Raw genomic sequence first — 14,796 nt, 5'->3', positions numbered from 1 at the left:
AATTGTAGTAAGATGAGGTCAGGAAAATGGGGCCTAATCCAAAATTACTGATGTCCTTATAAGCACAGACACAAAGATACAGAGAGAATGCCATGTGGAGACACACACAGAGGGAAGACAGCTGCGGGATGGAGGAAGACCCTGGAGCGATGCCACCTGAAGCCTGGGGTTACCGGCCGGAAGAGGCAACGAAGAGGCCTTCCCTCCAGCCTCTAGAGAGAGCGTGGCCCTGCTGACACCCTGACCTTGGGCTTCTGGCCTCCAGAACTGGGATAGAACACGTTTCTGTTGTTTTAAGCCCCTCTGCTTGTGGTAATGTGTTACCACAGCCACAGGAAATGAACACATCCCATAAAGCCATGCCAGAATCAACAGCTTCCTCCTAACTGATCCTGTCACATCCAGCTCACATTTTTAATGTGGAATATCCCTCAAATCTGGTGCATACGATGATTATAATAAAAGTCACGGCTCTAGAAGAAAGGCGAGGAACCTAAGGGCATGAAGTGCACCCAACCATCAAAAACGGCTTCCGTGGGCCCAGGCACTCTGGGATTCCCGTCAAAGGTCAGCAGAAAGCAGGACAAGAGTCAACACCCCTCGGCCCCCCATGCCCTGGACTCACGAAGCCGTTGCCCATGATGCGGTAGAGGCCTTTGAGAGACTCCAGGTCCTTGTTGGTGAAATGGAACTGGACCATCCTTGAGTTCCGGAACAAAGGGCCCAGGGTGGTCTGCGGGAGACACAGAAGTCGGCTGGCATGCTGGTGTGGGCAAGTGAGGCGGGGACATGAGGCAGGGAGTGGGGGTGGGGCAGGGAACAGGAAAGAGACAGCAGGGTGAGGACTGCCCGGCAGCAGGGCTGGCCCTCCACCGCCACTCACCAGCAGCTGCTGGGGGATGAGCTGCATGATCAGCTTCTGGGGCCACTGCTCCGTCTTCCTGGGGGCGATGCCAGGAGAGGTGTGAGGAGGGGGCCAGCCCCAGCCCCACCACACCCCGCCCCTGACTGTCACCTACAGGTTCTCGCCATGATTCACGTAGACCTGGCAGGGCAGTGACCGCGTCAGCTTGGTGTTGGCATCCACTGAGGCAGGTTTGGGTTTCTGAGGGGGAAAAAAGAGCATGTCAGTAAAAAGGGCCATAAGCCTCAGTCCCCTTGAGCCCTCATGTCCTACCCTGGTAGCCCCAAAGCTCAGGATGTTCCCCAGTTTAAGTCCCATGAGCCCCAGGCCCCTCCTCCAGACCAGCAAGCCTTCAGTTCCTCAAATGTTACAGCTACGTGCCCGGCCCCTAAATCCCACCATCCACTGTGCCCCAGATGATACATCGCCTGGGCTCTTCTCTGGGCCCCAAATCCTGGGCTTTTCTGGGTTCTTTGCATGGGGACTCTCCTCTGTACCGCAAGTCCCACCACTCCATGGGGCTCCTGGCCTCGCCCCGCATCCCACAGGTCCAGCGCAACGAATGCCTCCAAACCCAGCACTGCAGACCCCACGCATCTGGCCCCATGAGTCCTACATGCCCAGCCCCACGGCCCCAGGAGTCCCAAGTGCCCAATGGACCCTCAGGCCCCTCACCTCTTGCCACTCCAGGACCCCGCTCCAGGCCAGAAGCTTATTGGAGACTGACTGCTGCCCACCGAGGGCTGGGGCTCCCAGCTGGGCTGGGGAAGGGCCGCTCACCCCTCCTGGGGCCACAGTGCCTGCCTGCCAGAGGGGAGGAAGGAGGGCCATGAGAATGGGGAAGGCCGGGAGCCTCCGGGGGCCATCCTGTGAGGGCAAACCAGGAAGGAGGAAAGATCCCTTCTTCTGCCCCTCCATCCCCAGAACAGCACTTGGCCAGCCGCAGGACCCCAAATGCTTGGACCTTGCAGGATTCGAGGACTCGTAAGCTGTGCGATGCCCTGGACTCCCAGACCCAGGGATTCCTTGGGTTTCTCGGAACAGCCCTGACCCTCCTGGAGCCATGAGCCTCCCCACTCTGTCCCCAGACCCTCATCTCAGGCATCTGCAGCACACACACCACGAGCCCCCAAAGCCCCAGAACCACGAGAGCCACATCCCCCTGGAAGGCAAATGACTCATCCTCTAACTGTCCTAGCTGTGGACAGCAGGAGGAAGGAGCAGGGGCAGGAGGCGTGCAGGCACCTACCATGGACGGTGCCCCGGGCTGTGCCGTGGGAGCCAGGCCGGAGCCAGGGGCCACAGTGGAGACCAGACTGGGCTGGGAAGCAGGTGGTGGCTTGGGGGCGCCAGGGGGTCCTGGGGGTAGTTGGGGAGCTGGGGCCTGGCTGAAGGGGGGACCCACTCCGGGAGCAGCTTGTTGGAGAGGGGTGATGGGCGAGACTGTGGGAGAGACCAAGGGAAGAAGTGGGGAACAAGTGTGTGGAGAGAGGCCTGCCTGGCCCCTGCCCGCCCTTCATCCTCACTCCAGGACTCACAGCGAGGGCCCAGCCCAGCCTTCTGGTTCTTGGCAGCCTCCACTGCATTCTGCGCGGCCACCTGAGCTGCACTCAGGTTCCCGGGAACCTGTGGGTAGAAGGGAAGAAGGGAAGGGACTGGTGAGGACCATGGCCCCCCAGTCCTGGTATCCCACGAGGTCACACCACCCATGGCCCCATGAGGCACCAGCTGGGATAGCTTAGCTCACAACACCCATCACACAGCACATGAGCTTCCATGGCCCCAAGAGTCCCACCTTCCCAATGTCCCATGGGACTCCCATCATCCCACAAGCTCCAACATGCAACTAGATTTCTCCCCAGGGGCCAGGGCTCCAGCAAGTCCCCAGAAGCATGTCCCTTCCCGGAAATATCCATACCTGGTACTGCGGGGGGACGGGGGGCAGAGGCTGCTGGGGGGCTGCTGAGAGAGTGGCACCTGAGGGTGCGGCGGGAGGCAGGGGGACTGGCTGCTTTGACTGGAGGGGGCCTGGGGCTGAGCCACCCCCAACTGAGAGCAGGAGGGATGGCCAACCCCAGAGAGAAGGGATTCAAGATGCAGAGAAAGGAGAGAAATCCAAAATCCAAGTCAGAGGGAGCTGGGGAAACACGTCGAGCCCCCATCCCCGCGCACGGTGCCCAGGCCTCACCAGGCAGCACGAGTCCCCGAACCAGCACCATGTGCCTCGGGTCCTGGCTCACATCTGTCGGAGGCTGCAGCGGCTCCAGCAAGGCCGGGGGGGCTGCCTTCTCAAACAGAAGCCGAAGCGCAGGCAGCTTCCGGGGAGACACAATGGAGAAGTGGATCCCCCGCTGTAGGAGAGGGGCCGAGCAGTCATGACGGGCCCCCTCCATAAGGGTGTTGGGGCCGGCCCCCAACCTACCACAACTGCTGTGTGGCTGGACGGCACCAGCCCTACAACCACAATTCCCATTGGGCTTTGAGGCAGGAGACCCTGAAACCAGGTATCACCTGCCCCGGGAGACTCTGGGTTCTAGTTTTGTCAGTAAGACTAAGTGGGCCAGGTGTGGAGGCTCACGTCTGTAATCCCAGGATTTTGTGAGACCGAGTCAGGCAGATCACATGAGGCCAGGAGTTTGAGAGCAGTCTGGCCAACATGGTGAAACCTCATCTCTACTAAAGATACAAAAATCAGCTGGGCGTGGTGGCGGGCGTCTATAATCCCAGCTACTCGGGAGGCTGAAACATGAGAATTGCTTGAACCCTGGAGGCAGAGGCTGCAGTGGGCCAAGATCACACCACTGCACTCCAGCCTGGGTAACAGAGCCAGACTGTTTCGAAAAGAGAGTAAGCAAAGCTGGTCACCAGTCTGTGACTATTCTGTGTCTGAGTCCAGGCCCCCAGTGCCTCCCCGCTTAGACCCAAGAGTCCAGGCCCCCAGTGCCTCCTCCCTCAGACCCAGGAGTCCAGGCCCTCAGTGCCTCCTGCCTCAGACCCAAGACTCCGGGCCCCCAGACCCTCGTCCCTCAGACCCTGGAGTCCTCACCTCCCCAATCTGCTGCACAAGATTCTCAGTTGTGCATCCAGAGTACGTGGTGCTCTCAACAGCAGGCAACAAGTATGGGGGTGAGTTGCAGATGAGGAGGCAGACCCGGTGCGTCTGGCCACTACCAGGAAAGAGAGAAGACATGGAGCCAGCAGCAACAGAGGCCCTGAGAAGGAACCCAGACCCAGCACCAGCGGAGATGCACATATTCCGCCTCACATGGAATCAGAAGCAACGCCCCTACTTTACAGCTGAGAACACTGAGGCTCCAAGAGGTTCTGGGATGTGCTCTACGTCACCCAGCAGGCAGGGCAGGCAGGAGTGACACCCAGAGTTGGCACTGCTTCCTGATGGGGATGCTGAGACCGGGCACTGGCCAGGCGTCCCCCAAGGACACACCTGCAGCCTCCTGGCTCAGCGTGCTTGGGGACACAGAGCCCATGCCCTACAGGGTGAGGCTGGAGGTAGAACCACTCGACAGGCAAAGTGGTTCCAGGCCAGGCAGAGAGAGACCGGCCCGGCCTGGGTGGAGGGGGCACTCACATCTGCTCGCGCATCTTCTTGAAGTCATCAAACAGCTGCAAGGCTGTGCTGAGTCCTTCCGCGATGAGGCTGCAGCTCTCACCACCCCCGCCCATGAACCTGCAGGGGCAGAGCGGTCAGCCCCCAGGGTTGCCATCATCCCCATCCCCAGGCTATGCTTGAAGAGCCTGCTCCCATGCTGTCCCCCACTCTATCCTGGGCTATGCACCTTGGGATGACGGGGACCCTGCTGAGTTCCCTACCCAATCCCTGGTGCTAGCACAGCACCAGTCCCAGACAGGACAGGGGACATTTGCTGTCTGTGTTTTTTTTTTTTTTTGAGATGGAGTCTCGCTCTGTCGCCCAGGCTGGAATGCAGTGGCATGATCTCAGTTCACTGCAAGCTCCGCTTCCTGGGTTCATGCCATTCTCCTGCCTCAGTCTCCCGAGTAGCTGGGACTACAGGTGCCTGCCACCACACCTGGCTAATTTTTTGTATTTTTAGTAGAGACGGGATTTCACCATGTTAGCCAGGATGGTCTCCATCTCCTGACCTCATGATCCACTTGCCTCAGCCTCCCAAAGTGCTGGGATTGCAGGAGTGAGCCACCACACCCGGCCGACATTTGTTGTCTTTAATCATGAGGACTGGGAGGGAATGGGAAAGGGCTGGGGACCCCAAGCCTAGGATCCTGTGCTGACTCCAACCCTGGAGTGACTGACTCCATGCCCAGCCTCCTGCTGTCCCCTCCCCTCTCTGGGCTGTCTGCTCCAAATCAGTCCTGGCCCCACTTCACCTTCCCAGCCAGAGACGGGGGCCTCCTCTGTCCTCCTAGTCTTATGGGTTCAAGTGTGCCCCCTTCAAAAAGACAGGTTGAGGTCCTAAGCCCCAGTACCTCAGAAGGTGACCTAATTTGGAAAGATCTTTACACAGGTAATCGAGTTAAATTGCGGGCCCTAATCCACTATGGCTGGTGTCTGTGAAAAGGAGAAACGTGGACACGGACACACACACAGAGGGAAGACACAAGGACACAGAGAGACACAGGGAGAGGCCATGTGAGGACGGGTGATGCAGCCTCAGCAGGCACCAGGAAAGGCAGAAGGGCCCTTCCCCTGTAAGATTTCAGAGACAGCCTGGCCCTACCACCTGGATTTTGGACTTCCAGCCTCCAGAACCCTGAGACATCAATTTCCATTCTTCTGGCCAGTTTCTCATACTTTGCTACGGCAGCCTGGGAAACTAACACACACAGACTCTCGTTTCTCCTCCGCCTGATCTGCAGTCGCGTCGCAGCATCCGTCCCACATGGGTTGTGGCCCGGGGATGGCCTCTCCTCAAGGGCAGCTGTGGTTGCCACCATTATTCCGGTCACGTGGTCGTGAGAGGCTGACCTTTGCTGCAGGGGACGTGTGTGGAGACCGAGCACCCCTCTGAGGGTCTTGAGGGCCCTGTCCCCCTGAAGTGTGGTCTCTGATCCTACCTCTCCCACAGGCGGGGATGGGGTCTGAGTCCTCTCTTACCCCCAGGCTTGCCCACCACAGCGGGGCACATGTGAGGCCTCAGGAAATGTAGGCTAAGTGAATGAACGTCTACAGGCCCAACCGTGTCCATCAAGACTGGAACCAACCCAGGCCCTCGGCCCGGCATCGGCCCAGCATCCGAGGCCTCCGAGTCCTGCACCCCGTCCATCTCTCCTGCTCCATGCCCGCACCTATAGGTCCTCTCAACTGACAAAGCCCAGACATCCAGGTCTCTGCATGTGCTGGAACACACCCATTCCGGCCCGGATGGAATCCAGCTAAACTACGACACCCATCCTGGTGTGCCCTCCTATAGGAAGCCTTCCCTACATGCCACCTAATTTTACGGCCTGCCCTTAGTCACATCATAGATCACCCGATACTGCAGCTGTCAAGCTTCTCTCCGCACCCTGTGCAGCCCTCCAAGAGAGACACCAAGGCGTCTGACCCTAGGTCACACAAGGCCTAGGAACCATCTGCTGAGTACTCAGTGCACTGGTGGCCTGGCAGGGCCATGCAGCGGGGCTCTCCGCTTCCTGCCTGAGTTCTCGCACTGATTTCCTTCCAGTCCCACTCGGCCCGGCCAGTGAGCACACTGAGCCCCTGAGCCTTCTTCCTGCTCTCAGGGCACTCGGGCGCTGCTCCCAACCCACCACACACTTCCCAGCCCTCCTCTTCCTAGCCATCAAAACAGCTTTTGTTTTTGAGACGGAGTCTCGCTCTGTCTCCCAGGCTGGAGGGCAGAGGCACATCTCCGCTCACTGCAAGCTCCGCCTCCCGGATTCACGCCATTCTCCTGCCTCAGCCTCCCTCGTAGCTGGGACCACAGGTGCCCGCCACCACGCCCGGCTAATTTTTTTAATTTTTAAGTAGAGACGGGGTTTCACGGTGTTATCCGGGATGGTCTCGAACTCCTGACCTTATGATCCACCCGCCTCGGCCTCCCAAAGTGCTGGGATTACAGGCGTGAGCCACTGTGCCCGGCATCAAGACAGCTTTGCACGCAGAAACTTCAACTGTGTGCAAAGAGTTGGGGTGAACCAACTCTGGACCCAGCTGTTCTGCTACAGGTGAAATTAAGCCAATATTTTCCTGGGCCTTTCTGGGACTCGAGCCAAAACCACCCTGGCTGGGGATGGGGGGATGGGGGAATGGGGAGCTAGTGCTTCATGCATATGGGGTGTCCTCTTTGGGGTGATAAATTTTTTTTTTTGAGATGGAGTTTCGCTCTTGTTGCCCAGGCTGGAGTGCAATGGCACGATCTCAGCTCACCACTACCTTCGACTTCTGGGTTCAAGTGATTCTCCTGCCTCAGCCTCCCGAGTAGCTGGGATTACAGGCATGCGGCACCACGCCCAGCTAATTTTGTATTTTTAGTAGAGACAGGGTTTCTCCATGTTGGTCGGGCTGGTCTCGAACTCCCGACCTCAGGTGATCCGCCTCCTCACCCTCCCAAAGTGCTGGAATTACAGGCATGACCCTGTAAAACAGTTGGAAGTGACTGGGTGCAATGGCTTATGCCTGTAATCCCAGCACTTTGGGAGGCCGAGGTGGGCGGATCACTTGAGGTCAGGAGTTCAAGACCAACCTGGCCAAAGTGAAACCCTATCTCTACTAAAAATACAAAAACCAGCCAGACATGGTGGTGGGTACGTGTAATCCCAGCTACTCGGGAGGCTGAGGCAGGAGAATCACTTGAACCTCGGGGGCAGAGGTTGTAGTGAGCTGAGATCATGCCACTGCACTCCAGCCTGGGAGAGAGAGAGAGACTCCATCTCAAACAAAACAAAACAAAACAAAACCCTTATGAGGAAAAGTGTGATAAACTAACCAGTTTGAGATGCTAAAACTTGCGTTTCTCTTATTGAACACTAAGTACAAGTCATGTGCTACAAGCTCAAAGGGCGACATGTAATAAACATTTTGTCAAAGAAATGTGGAAAACTTGAACAGAAGAAGCACTATGGCTGGCTGCAAAATATGGCTAAAATATCAAGTTTATGATAAATTCCAAATAAACCCCTTGATATGGCAGACACAAAATAAAAATAAAAGCCCCCTAGGTGACACAAGTGGGCTCTGACTTGGTGTTCCCAAGTCCTCTAACTTACTCCCATTTGTTCTACCCAGTATCATTCCCCGGGGTCTCTGCTGCCCGCTTTCATCGGCTAACAGGTGCCTGGAGCCCCAGGAGGTCAAAATGAGTGAATGTTAACAGCATCCGGCCATGACCAAGGGCTCCCTACACACGGCCTGTCACCCAGGCAAACTAGTTCCATGAGGGCCAGGACCTTGCCTATCTCATGCCCACTAACTCCTTGGTGCCCAGGACGATTTGTTCCACAAACATTTGTTGAATTAATGAGTGAACATATGAATGAACAACTGAGTTGTCATAATGTTATGGGAAACACACTGGGTCTATTTTCCTTCCACCTCTTTTTTTTTTTTTTTTTTCCCGAGACAGGGTCTCGCTCTTTCACCCAGGCTGGAGTGCGGTGGCACAATCTCGGCTCACTGCAACCTCTGCCTCCCAGTCTCAGTTGATCCTCCTACCTCAGCCTCCTGAGTAGCTGGGACTACAGGTGTGCACCACCATGCCTGGTTAATTTTTTCTATTTATTTGTTGTTTTTGTATTACATACTAATTCATTTATTCAGCCAGTCTCCTGAAGCCCCGTGGGTGCCAAGCCCCAGCTGGAAGCAAATGGCAGAAGCACCCAGGGACCTGGACATTCACAGTCCAGAGGTGTGGGGCTGTGACAGGTCATGGAGGCAGAGGAGGAAGCATCTGGCTGCAAGAATCGGGAAGGTTTCCCAGGGTATAAGACACCTGAGCTGGGTCTGGAAGGCTATGCAGTGTCTTCCAGGGTGGTTAGTATTAAATGCATTCTGGACATTCATTCTACAGAATTTACCCGAGGCCTCCTGTGTACCAGGCCCTGTGCTGGCTGCCAGGCACTTGAGGAGCATCAGACTTGGACCTGGGCCTCAAGAAGTCTCCATTTAACATCACTCAAGACTGTCTTACCGGTCTCTCCCAGTGGTCTCAAATGGAATACATTTTGCGCCCCCTTCCCAGAGGATATTTTATAATGCCTGGAGACATTTTTGGTTGTCACACCTTTGGGAGGGGGCTACCGGCATCTAGTGAGTAGAGGCCAAGGATGATGTTAAACATCCTACAATACCCAGGACGGCCCCCACTACAAGGAATGACTGTGTCCACAGTGTCACTAGGGCCAAGGATGAGAAACCCTGCTCTGTGTTACCTACGAATTCCAGCTACCGCGAAGGGGAAGCTTCTGTGTCACCTTTTCACTATATGTCCTGCACCCAGCACTTGCACGCACATACTGGAACAAAGCAGATACTCAACAAACACCTGCTGCAGAAGCATACAGAGGTAACGGCCGCTACGAACAGGTGTTGTTTAATGAACCTTGACTGCAGACCAGGCCCTAAGCGACACACAGCAAGCAACTTAGCTCCTGTGATCTTCTAACAACACGGAGATACACGCGACCATTATCCATTTGCAAACCAGGAGAGTGAGGCACAAAATCCTAGGAAACACTTACACGGCACTTAATACATGCCAGGCACTGTATTAAACATCATCAACTAACTTAATTCTCCAAACATCGCTGTGAGGTTGCGGTACCCAGCCCCCAATACAGCACCCAGCAATCCAGCCTCTTGCTATTTACACACTGGGTAGTCTCCTCCTACACTGAACGGGATAGGCTTATACTGCACACCAAATGCAGTATGGCAGAAGTGGACTTGGCACCGCAGCTCAGGCCTGTGATCTCAGCACTCCAGCACTTAGGGAGGTCAAGGCAGGAGGATCGCTTGAGGCCAGGAGTTCAAGACCAGTCTGAGCAACACAGCAAGACCTCATCTCTACAAGAATTAAAATAAAGAAATCAGCCATGCATGGTGGTGCCCACCTGCAGTCCTAGGTACTCAGGAGGCTGAGGTGGGAGGATCACTTGAGCCCGAGAGGTCGAGGCTGCAGCAAGCTATGATCCCACCACTGCACTCCAATCTGGGCAACAGAGCAAGACCCTGTCTCAGGTTAAAAAACAGAATGTAGGCCAGGCGCGGTGGCTCACGCCTGTAATCCCAGCACTTTGGGAGGCCGAGGCGGGTGGATCACAAGGTCAGGAGACCGAGACCATCCCGGCTAACACAGTGAAACCCTGTCTCTACTAAAAATACAAAAAATTAGCTGGGTGTGGTGGCGGGCACCTGTAGTCCCAGCTACTCAGGAGGCTGAGGCAGGAGAATGGCGTGAACTCGGGAGGCGGAGCTTGCAGTGAGCTGAGATCGCACCACTGCACTTCAGCCTGGACAACAGAGCGAGACTCTGTCTCAAAAAAAAAAAAAAAAAAAAAAAAAGAATGTAACAGAAATAATGACATGACGTGTAACTTCCAAGACTTGATTACAAAGAGCCTAGTGGGGCCTCTGGGTGCAGCATCTCATGCCTCTAATCCCAGCACTTAGGGACACTGAAGTGGAGGATCACTTGAGACCAGGAGTTCAAAACCAGCCTGGGCAACATTGCAGGACCTTGTCTCCACAAAAAAAACAATTTTTTTTTGAGACAGGGTCTCAGTCAGTCAGTCACCCAAGCTGGAGCGCAGTGGTGCGATCTCTCCACCTCCTGGCTTGAAGTGATTCTCCTGCCTCAGCCTCCTGAGTAGCTAGGATTACAAGGCACATGCCACCACACCTGATTAATTTTTGTATGGTTTTTTTTTTTTTTTTTTTTTTGAGACAGAGTCTTGCTCTGTTGCCCAGGCTGGAGTGCAGTGGTGCAATCTTGGCTCACTGCAAACTCCGCCTCCTGGGTTCACGCCATTCTCCTGCCTCAGCCTCCCGAGTAGCTGGGACTGCAGGTGCCTGCCACCGCGCCCGGTTAAATTTTTGTATTTTTAGTAGAGACGGGGTTTCACCGTGTTAGCCAGGATGGTCTCCATCTCCTGACCTCATCATCCACCCGCCTCAGCCTCCCAAAGTGCTGGGATTACAGGCGTGAGCCACCACGCCTGCCCAATTTTTGTATTTTTTGTAGAGACGGGGTTTCACCATGTTGGCCAGGCTGGTCTCGAACTCCTGACCTCAGGTGATTCGCCCGCCTTGGCCTCCCAAAGTGCTGGGATTACAGGGATGAGCCACCGTGCCCCGCCACTACAAAATTTTTTTTTTTTTTTTTTTTTGAGACAGAATTTCACTCTTGTTGCCCAGGCTGGAGTGCAATGGTGTGATCTCGGCTCACTGCAACCTCCACCTCCCAGGTTCAAGCAATTCTCCTGCCTCAGCCTCCCAAGAGCTGGGATTACAGGCATGCGCCACCATGCCCAGCTAAGGCCTGTAATTTCAGCACTCCAGCACTTAGGGAGGTCAAGGCAGGATGATTGCTTGTATTTTTAGTAGAGGCAGGGTTTCACCATGTTGGACAGGCTGGTCTCGAACTCCTGACCTCAGGTGATCCACCTGCCCCAGCCTCCCAAAGTGCTGGGATTACAGGCGTGAGCCACCACGCCCGACCTACAAAAATATTTTTAAGAAATCAGCCAGGTGTGCTGGCATTTGGCTACCGTCCCTGCTACTCCAGCTACTCGGGAAGCTGAGATGGGAGGATCGCTTGAGCTTGAGCCCAGGAGGTCGAGGCTGCAGTGAGCCGTGACTGAGCCACTGCACTCCAGCCTGCGTGACAGAGTGAGACCCTTCCTCAAAAACAAGAGAGGCCTGGGGCTTCCTCTTTGCTCTCTCTATTGGGTCCCTCAATCTGAGGAATGCCAGTTGCCATGTTAGACAGTCAACCAGCCCTGTGGAGAGGTCTTGTGGCCAACAGCCACAGACTCGCCACCTTGGGAACGGATTCCCCACCACCAGTCAAACCCCTGGATGGCTGCAATCCTGCCGACCTCCTGACTATTGCCTTGTGAGACCCTCAGCCCAACCATCCAGCCAAGCCACTCTTGTGTCCTTGACTCACAGAAACTGCGTTAGATAATAAATGTTTGCAGTATGCAGCCATTATTTGGTGGTAATCTATTATACAGCTAAGAATAAGTAATACAATGAAATACTAATACAAGTACTATCCACATCCCCACTTCACAAGTGAGATACTAGGCACAGAGGGGACAGACTCCTGGGTCTGAGAGTTAGTTCTGTGCTGGAAGAGCCAGGATTTAACCCGTCTGCCTGACTCCAGACTCTACAATGTCAACTATCAAAATCCGATCCAGCGCCAGGCGTGGTGGTGAGGCAGGAAATTAAAGAAAAAAAATTAAAAAGAGAAATAAGTTCTATGTATTAGGCTGACTTGTCTGAGAGGCAGCAATGGGCACAGCCCAGACCCAGGAAAAGTCTTGATAATACTATCTAAAGTGCTCTTGGAGACTCTCCCAGCACTCCCTCAACATAGAGAGAAGAAAAAACAAATTTTCCTTTGTTTTATGGAATGAGTTTATAGATTCCTGTTCTCTGTAACTCATGACTTCAAGTATTCTGTTTTATCTAAGAAGTACAGCGAAGGTCATGAGAAGCCTGAGCTGCCTGGGCACCACAGTGAAGGTTATGGGATAAGCCCGTGCCTAGGCTAACCTAGATAAGGGACATCTGGGTTGCATAGCAACGGTTATGTGCAATCCTGAGTTATAAACCTGTTACAACAATTTGATTAACTGTTTTTGTTCTGCCTCTGTATCCCTGCTGTCACGCCACTGTAAGCTTGCTTCAAGCTAGCCCACCCCCTTTTGTGAAGTGTGTATAAAAGTCAAGTGCTACCTTTGTTCTGGGCCGTCTTTGGACGTGAGTCGGCTTGGGCCTGAGTGCACTCAATGAAAGATTCTCCTGCTTTAACCCGAGGGCTCTCTCCTGTCGTCCTGAATCCCGCAACAGTGGCTCACCCCTATAATCCCAGCACTTTGGGAGGCTGAGGCAGGCAGATCACATGAGGTCAGGAGTTTGAGACCAGCCTGGCCAACACAGTGAAACTGTCTCTACTAAAAATACAAAAAAAAAAAAAAAAATTAGCTGGGCATAGTGGCGTGTGCCTGTAATCCCAGCTACTTGGGAGGCTGAGGCAGAAGAATCGCTTCAACCCAGGAGGTACAGGTTGCAGTGAGCCACGACTGTGCCACTGCACTACAAGCCTGGGAGACAGAGCAAGACACTGTTTCAAAAAAAAAAAAAAAAATTCTGACCCAAGCCACAGAGGGATCTATCCTGGCTCTGACCCATCCCCCTGCACTGAGGCTACAATGTACCCATCTGGAAAAGGAGGACAGGGGTAGACGGAAAAAGAGAGGACAGAAAGGGGACAATCACACAGGGAGTACAAGGTGGCTGCTGGAGCTCAGCCAGGCCTCCCTGAATGGGAAGGTTTTTCCTACTTCTAAACTGATGGCAACATTGCTGAGCACACAGAAGCCACCACAAAAGTGACTTCTGACAAAAACACAATCACCCTCAAAGTCCTTTCAATCCCTTAATGTATGAGATGTTTCCTGCAGCTCAAACCCAAGCCATCGCTCATTCACGGCCCCTCGCAGGGACCCCAACCACCCCAAGCCATTACTTATTCACAGCCCCTCACGGGGACACCAACCACCCCAAGCCATCACTTATTCACAGCCTCTCACGGGGACACCAACCACCCCAAGCCATCACTCATTCACGGCCCCTCACAGGGACCAGCAACCCACCCCAAGTGGGGGAAAGCTCACTTAATGCCATCGAGCCAGGTGACAAACTCATAGGCGCTGCTGGTGGGAGCGTGACATTGTACGTAGGACTCGGGAGCGCAGTCCACTGTGTTGAACACCACGAGGCTGTACTGGGTCCCCCCATACTGGGAGGGGAGGACAGAAAACTTTTAATCTGGGACCTCAATTCCCTTTTCCCTTAGAGAAGGAATCAGGGCTCCCAGCTTCCCGTTCCTCCAGAACCAGGAACTCCTCAGCTTCCTCCTTCCTCAGACCCAGCAATCTCGGCCCCAGCCCCTTCTCCCTCAGACCCAGGAATCCAGGCCCCCGGCCCCTCCTCCCTCAGACCCAGGAGCCCAGGCCCCAGCACCTCCTCCCTCAGACCCAGGAATCCAGGCCTCAGCTCCTCCTTTCTCAGACCCAGCAGTCCAGACGCCCAGCCCTTCCTCCCTCAGACCCAGGGATCTGGGCCCCTAGCTCCCTCCTCCCTCGGACCCAGGAATCCGGGCCCCAGCGCCTCCACCCTCAGACCCAGGAGTCCAGGCCCCCAGGCCCTCCTCCCTCAGAACAAGGAGTCCAGACCCCCAGCCCCTCCTCCCTCAAACTCAGGAGTCCAGGCCCAGCCCTTTCTCCCTCCCTCAGACCCAGGAGTCCAGGCCCCCGGCCCCTCCTCCCTCAGGCCCAGGAGTCCCTAGACTCACGTCTCCCCCGAAGTCCGTCTCAGCAGGAGGACCACCATTAAAATACCTGTGAGGGTAGGAAGTGAAAGGTCGGAGTCAGGCAAGAAACTGTGCGAAACTGAAGTGGGAGGGCGGGGTTAGAGTCGCGGAAACAGCACTCACTCGATGGCCGGGAGCAGGTAGTGCTTGCGGAGCCCCTCGAAGTAGGGTCCCAGGTTGGCCGTACCCTCAATCACAAACACCACGTCGGCCACCACGCTCCCGGCGCGGGCCGGGCCCTCGGACCCGGGGACCATACCCCGTGCGGTACCCGCCACCACCACTGCAGCCGCAGCCGACGCCGCGGAATGAGCAGAAATGCGCCTGCGCCGCGCGCGCGCTCGCGTCGGGCGG

The 14,796-nt window shown here is 55.3% G+C and overlaps 1 protein-coding gene and 1 non-coding gene across 3 annotated transcripts in view, besides 3 other annotated features; both read right to left on the bottom strand.

Moving 5' to 3' along the window:
* MED25 (mediator complex subunit 25) overlaps window positions 1-14,752 on the bottom strand; it is a 22,096-nt gene extending 7,344 nt beyond the window's left edge. For both annotated transcript variants that reach the window (NM_001378355.1, NM_030973.4), the window contains exons 1-13: window positions 14,566-14,752; window positions 14,425-14,470; window positions 13,745-13,869; window positions 4,494-4,592; window positions 3,951-4,071; window positions 3,093-3,255; window positions 2,823-2,953; window positions 2,443-2,530; window positions 2,154-2,347; window positions 1,580-1,708; window positions 1,020-1,105; window positions 884-941; window positions 626-733 (exon numbers count right to left, since the gene is read on the bottom strand). In NM_001378355.1, the coding sequence (NP_001365284.1) occupies window positions 626-733; window positions 884-941; window positions 1,020-1,105; window positions 1,580-1,708; window positions 2,154-2,347; window positions 2,443-2,530; window positions 2,823-2,953; window positions 3,093-3,255; window positions 3,951-4,071; window positions 4,494-4,592; window positions 13,745-13,869; window positions 14,425-14,470; window positions 14,566-14,699 (1,482 nt within the window). In that variant the 5' untranslated portion in view covers window positions 14,700-14,752. The remainder of the gene's footprint in view (window positions 1-625; window positions 734-883; window positions 942-1,019; window positions 1,106-1,579; window positions 1,709-2,153; window positions 2,348-2,442; window positions 2,531-2,822; window positions 2,954-3,092; window positions 3,256-3,950; window positions 4,072-4,493; window positions 4,593-13,744; window positions 13,870-14,424; window positions 14,471-14,565) is intronic.
* MIR6800 (microRNA 6800) lies at window positions 942-1,023 on the bottom strand. Its single transcript, NR_106858.1, has one exon. It is a non-coding gene; the product is annotated as a microRNA 6800 (primary transcript).
* Window positions 14,544-14,703: a silencer, noted in NCBI's record as "silent region_10937". NCBI's record gives its function as "represses an Ori minimal core promoter by ATAC-STARR-seq in GM12878 lymphoblastoid cells {active_cell/tissue: GM12878}" and the evidence as "EXISTENCE:reporter gene assay evidence [ECO:0000049][PMID:35858748]".
* Window positions 14,544-14,796: a biological region, named in NCBI's record as "ReSE screen-validated silencer GRCh37_chr19:50321502-50321668".
* Window positions 14,630-14,796: a silencer, noted in NCBI's record as "fragment chr19:50321502-50321668 (GRCh37/hg19 assembly coordinates)". NCBI's record gives its function as "represses an EF-1alpha promoter that drives an FKBP-Casp9 reporter gene in an ReSE screen in K562 erythroleukemia cells {active_cell/tissue: K562}" and the evidence as "EXISTENCE:reporter gene assay evidence [ECO:0000049][PMID:32094911]".

This window comes from Homo sapiens, chromosome 19, assembly GCF_000001405.40.
Source record: "Homo sapiens chromosome 19, GRCh38.p14 Primary Assembly".
NCBI classification, from domain to species: Eukaryota; Metazoa; Chordata; class Mammalia; order Primates; family Hominidae; genus Homo; species Homo sapiens.
Note: the sequence above shows the minus strand (reverse complement) of the source record. Positions and strands in the feature narration are given on the sequence as shown.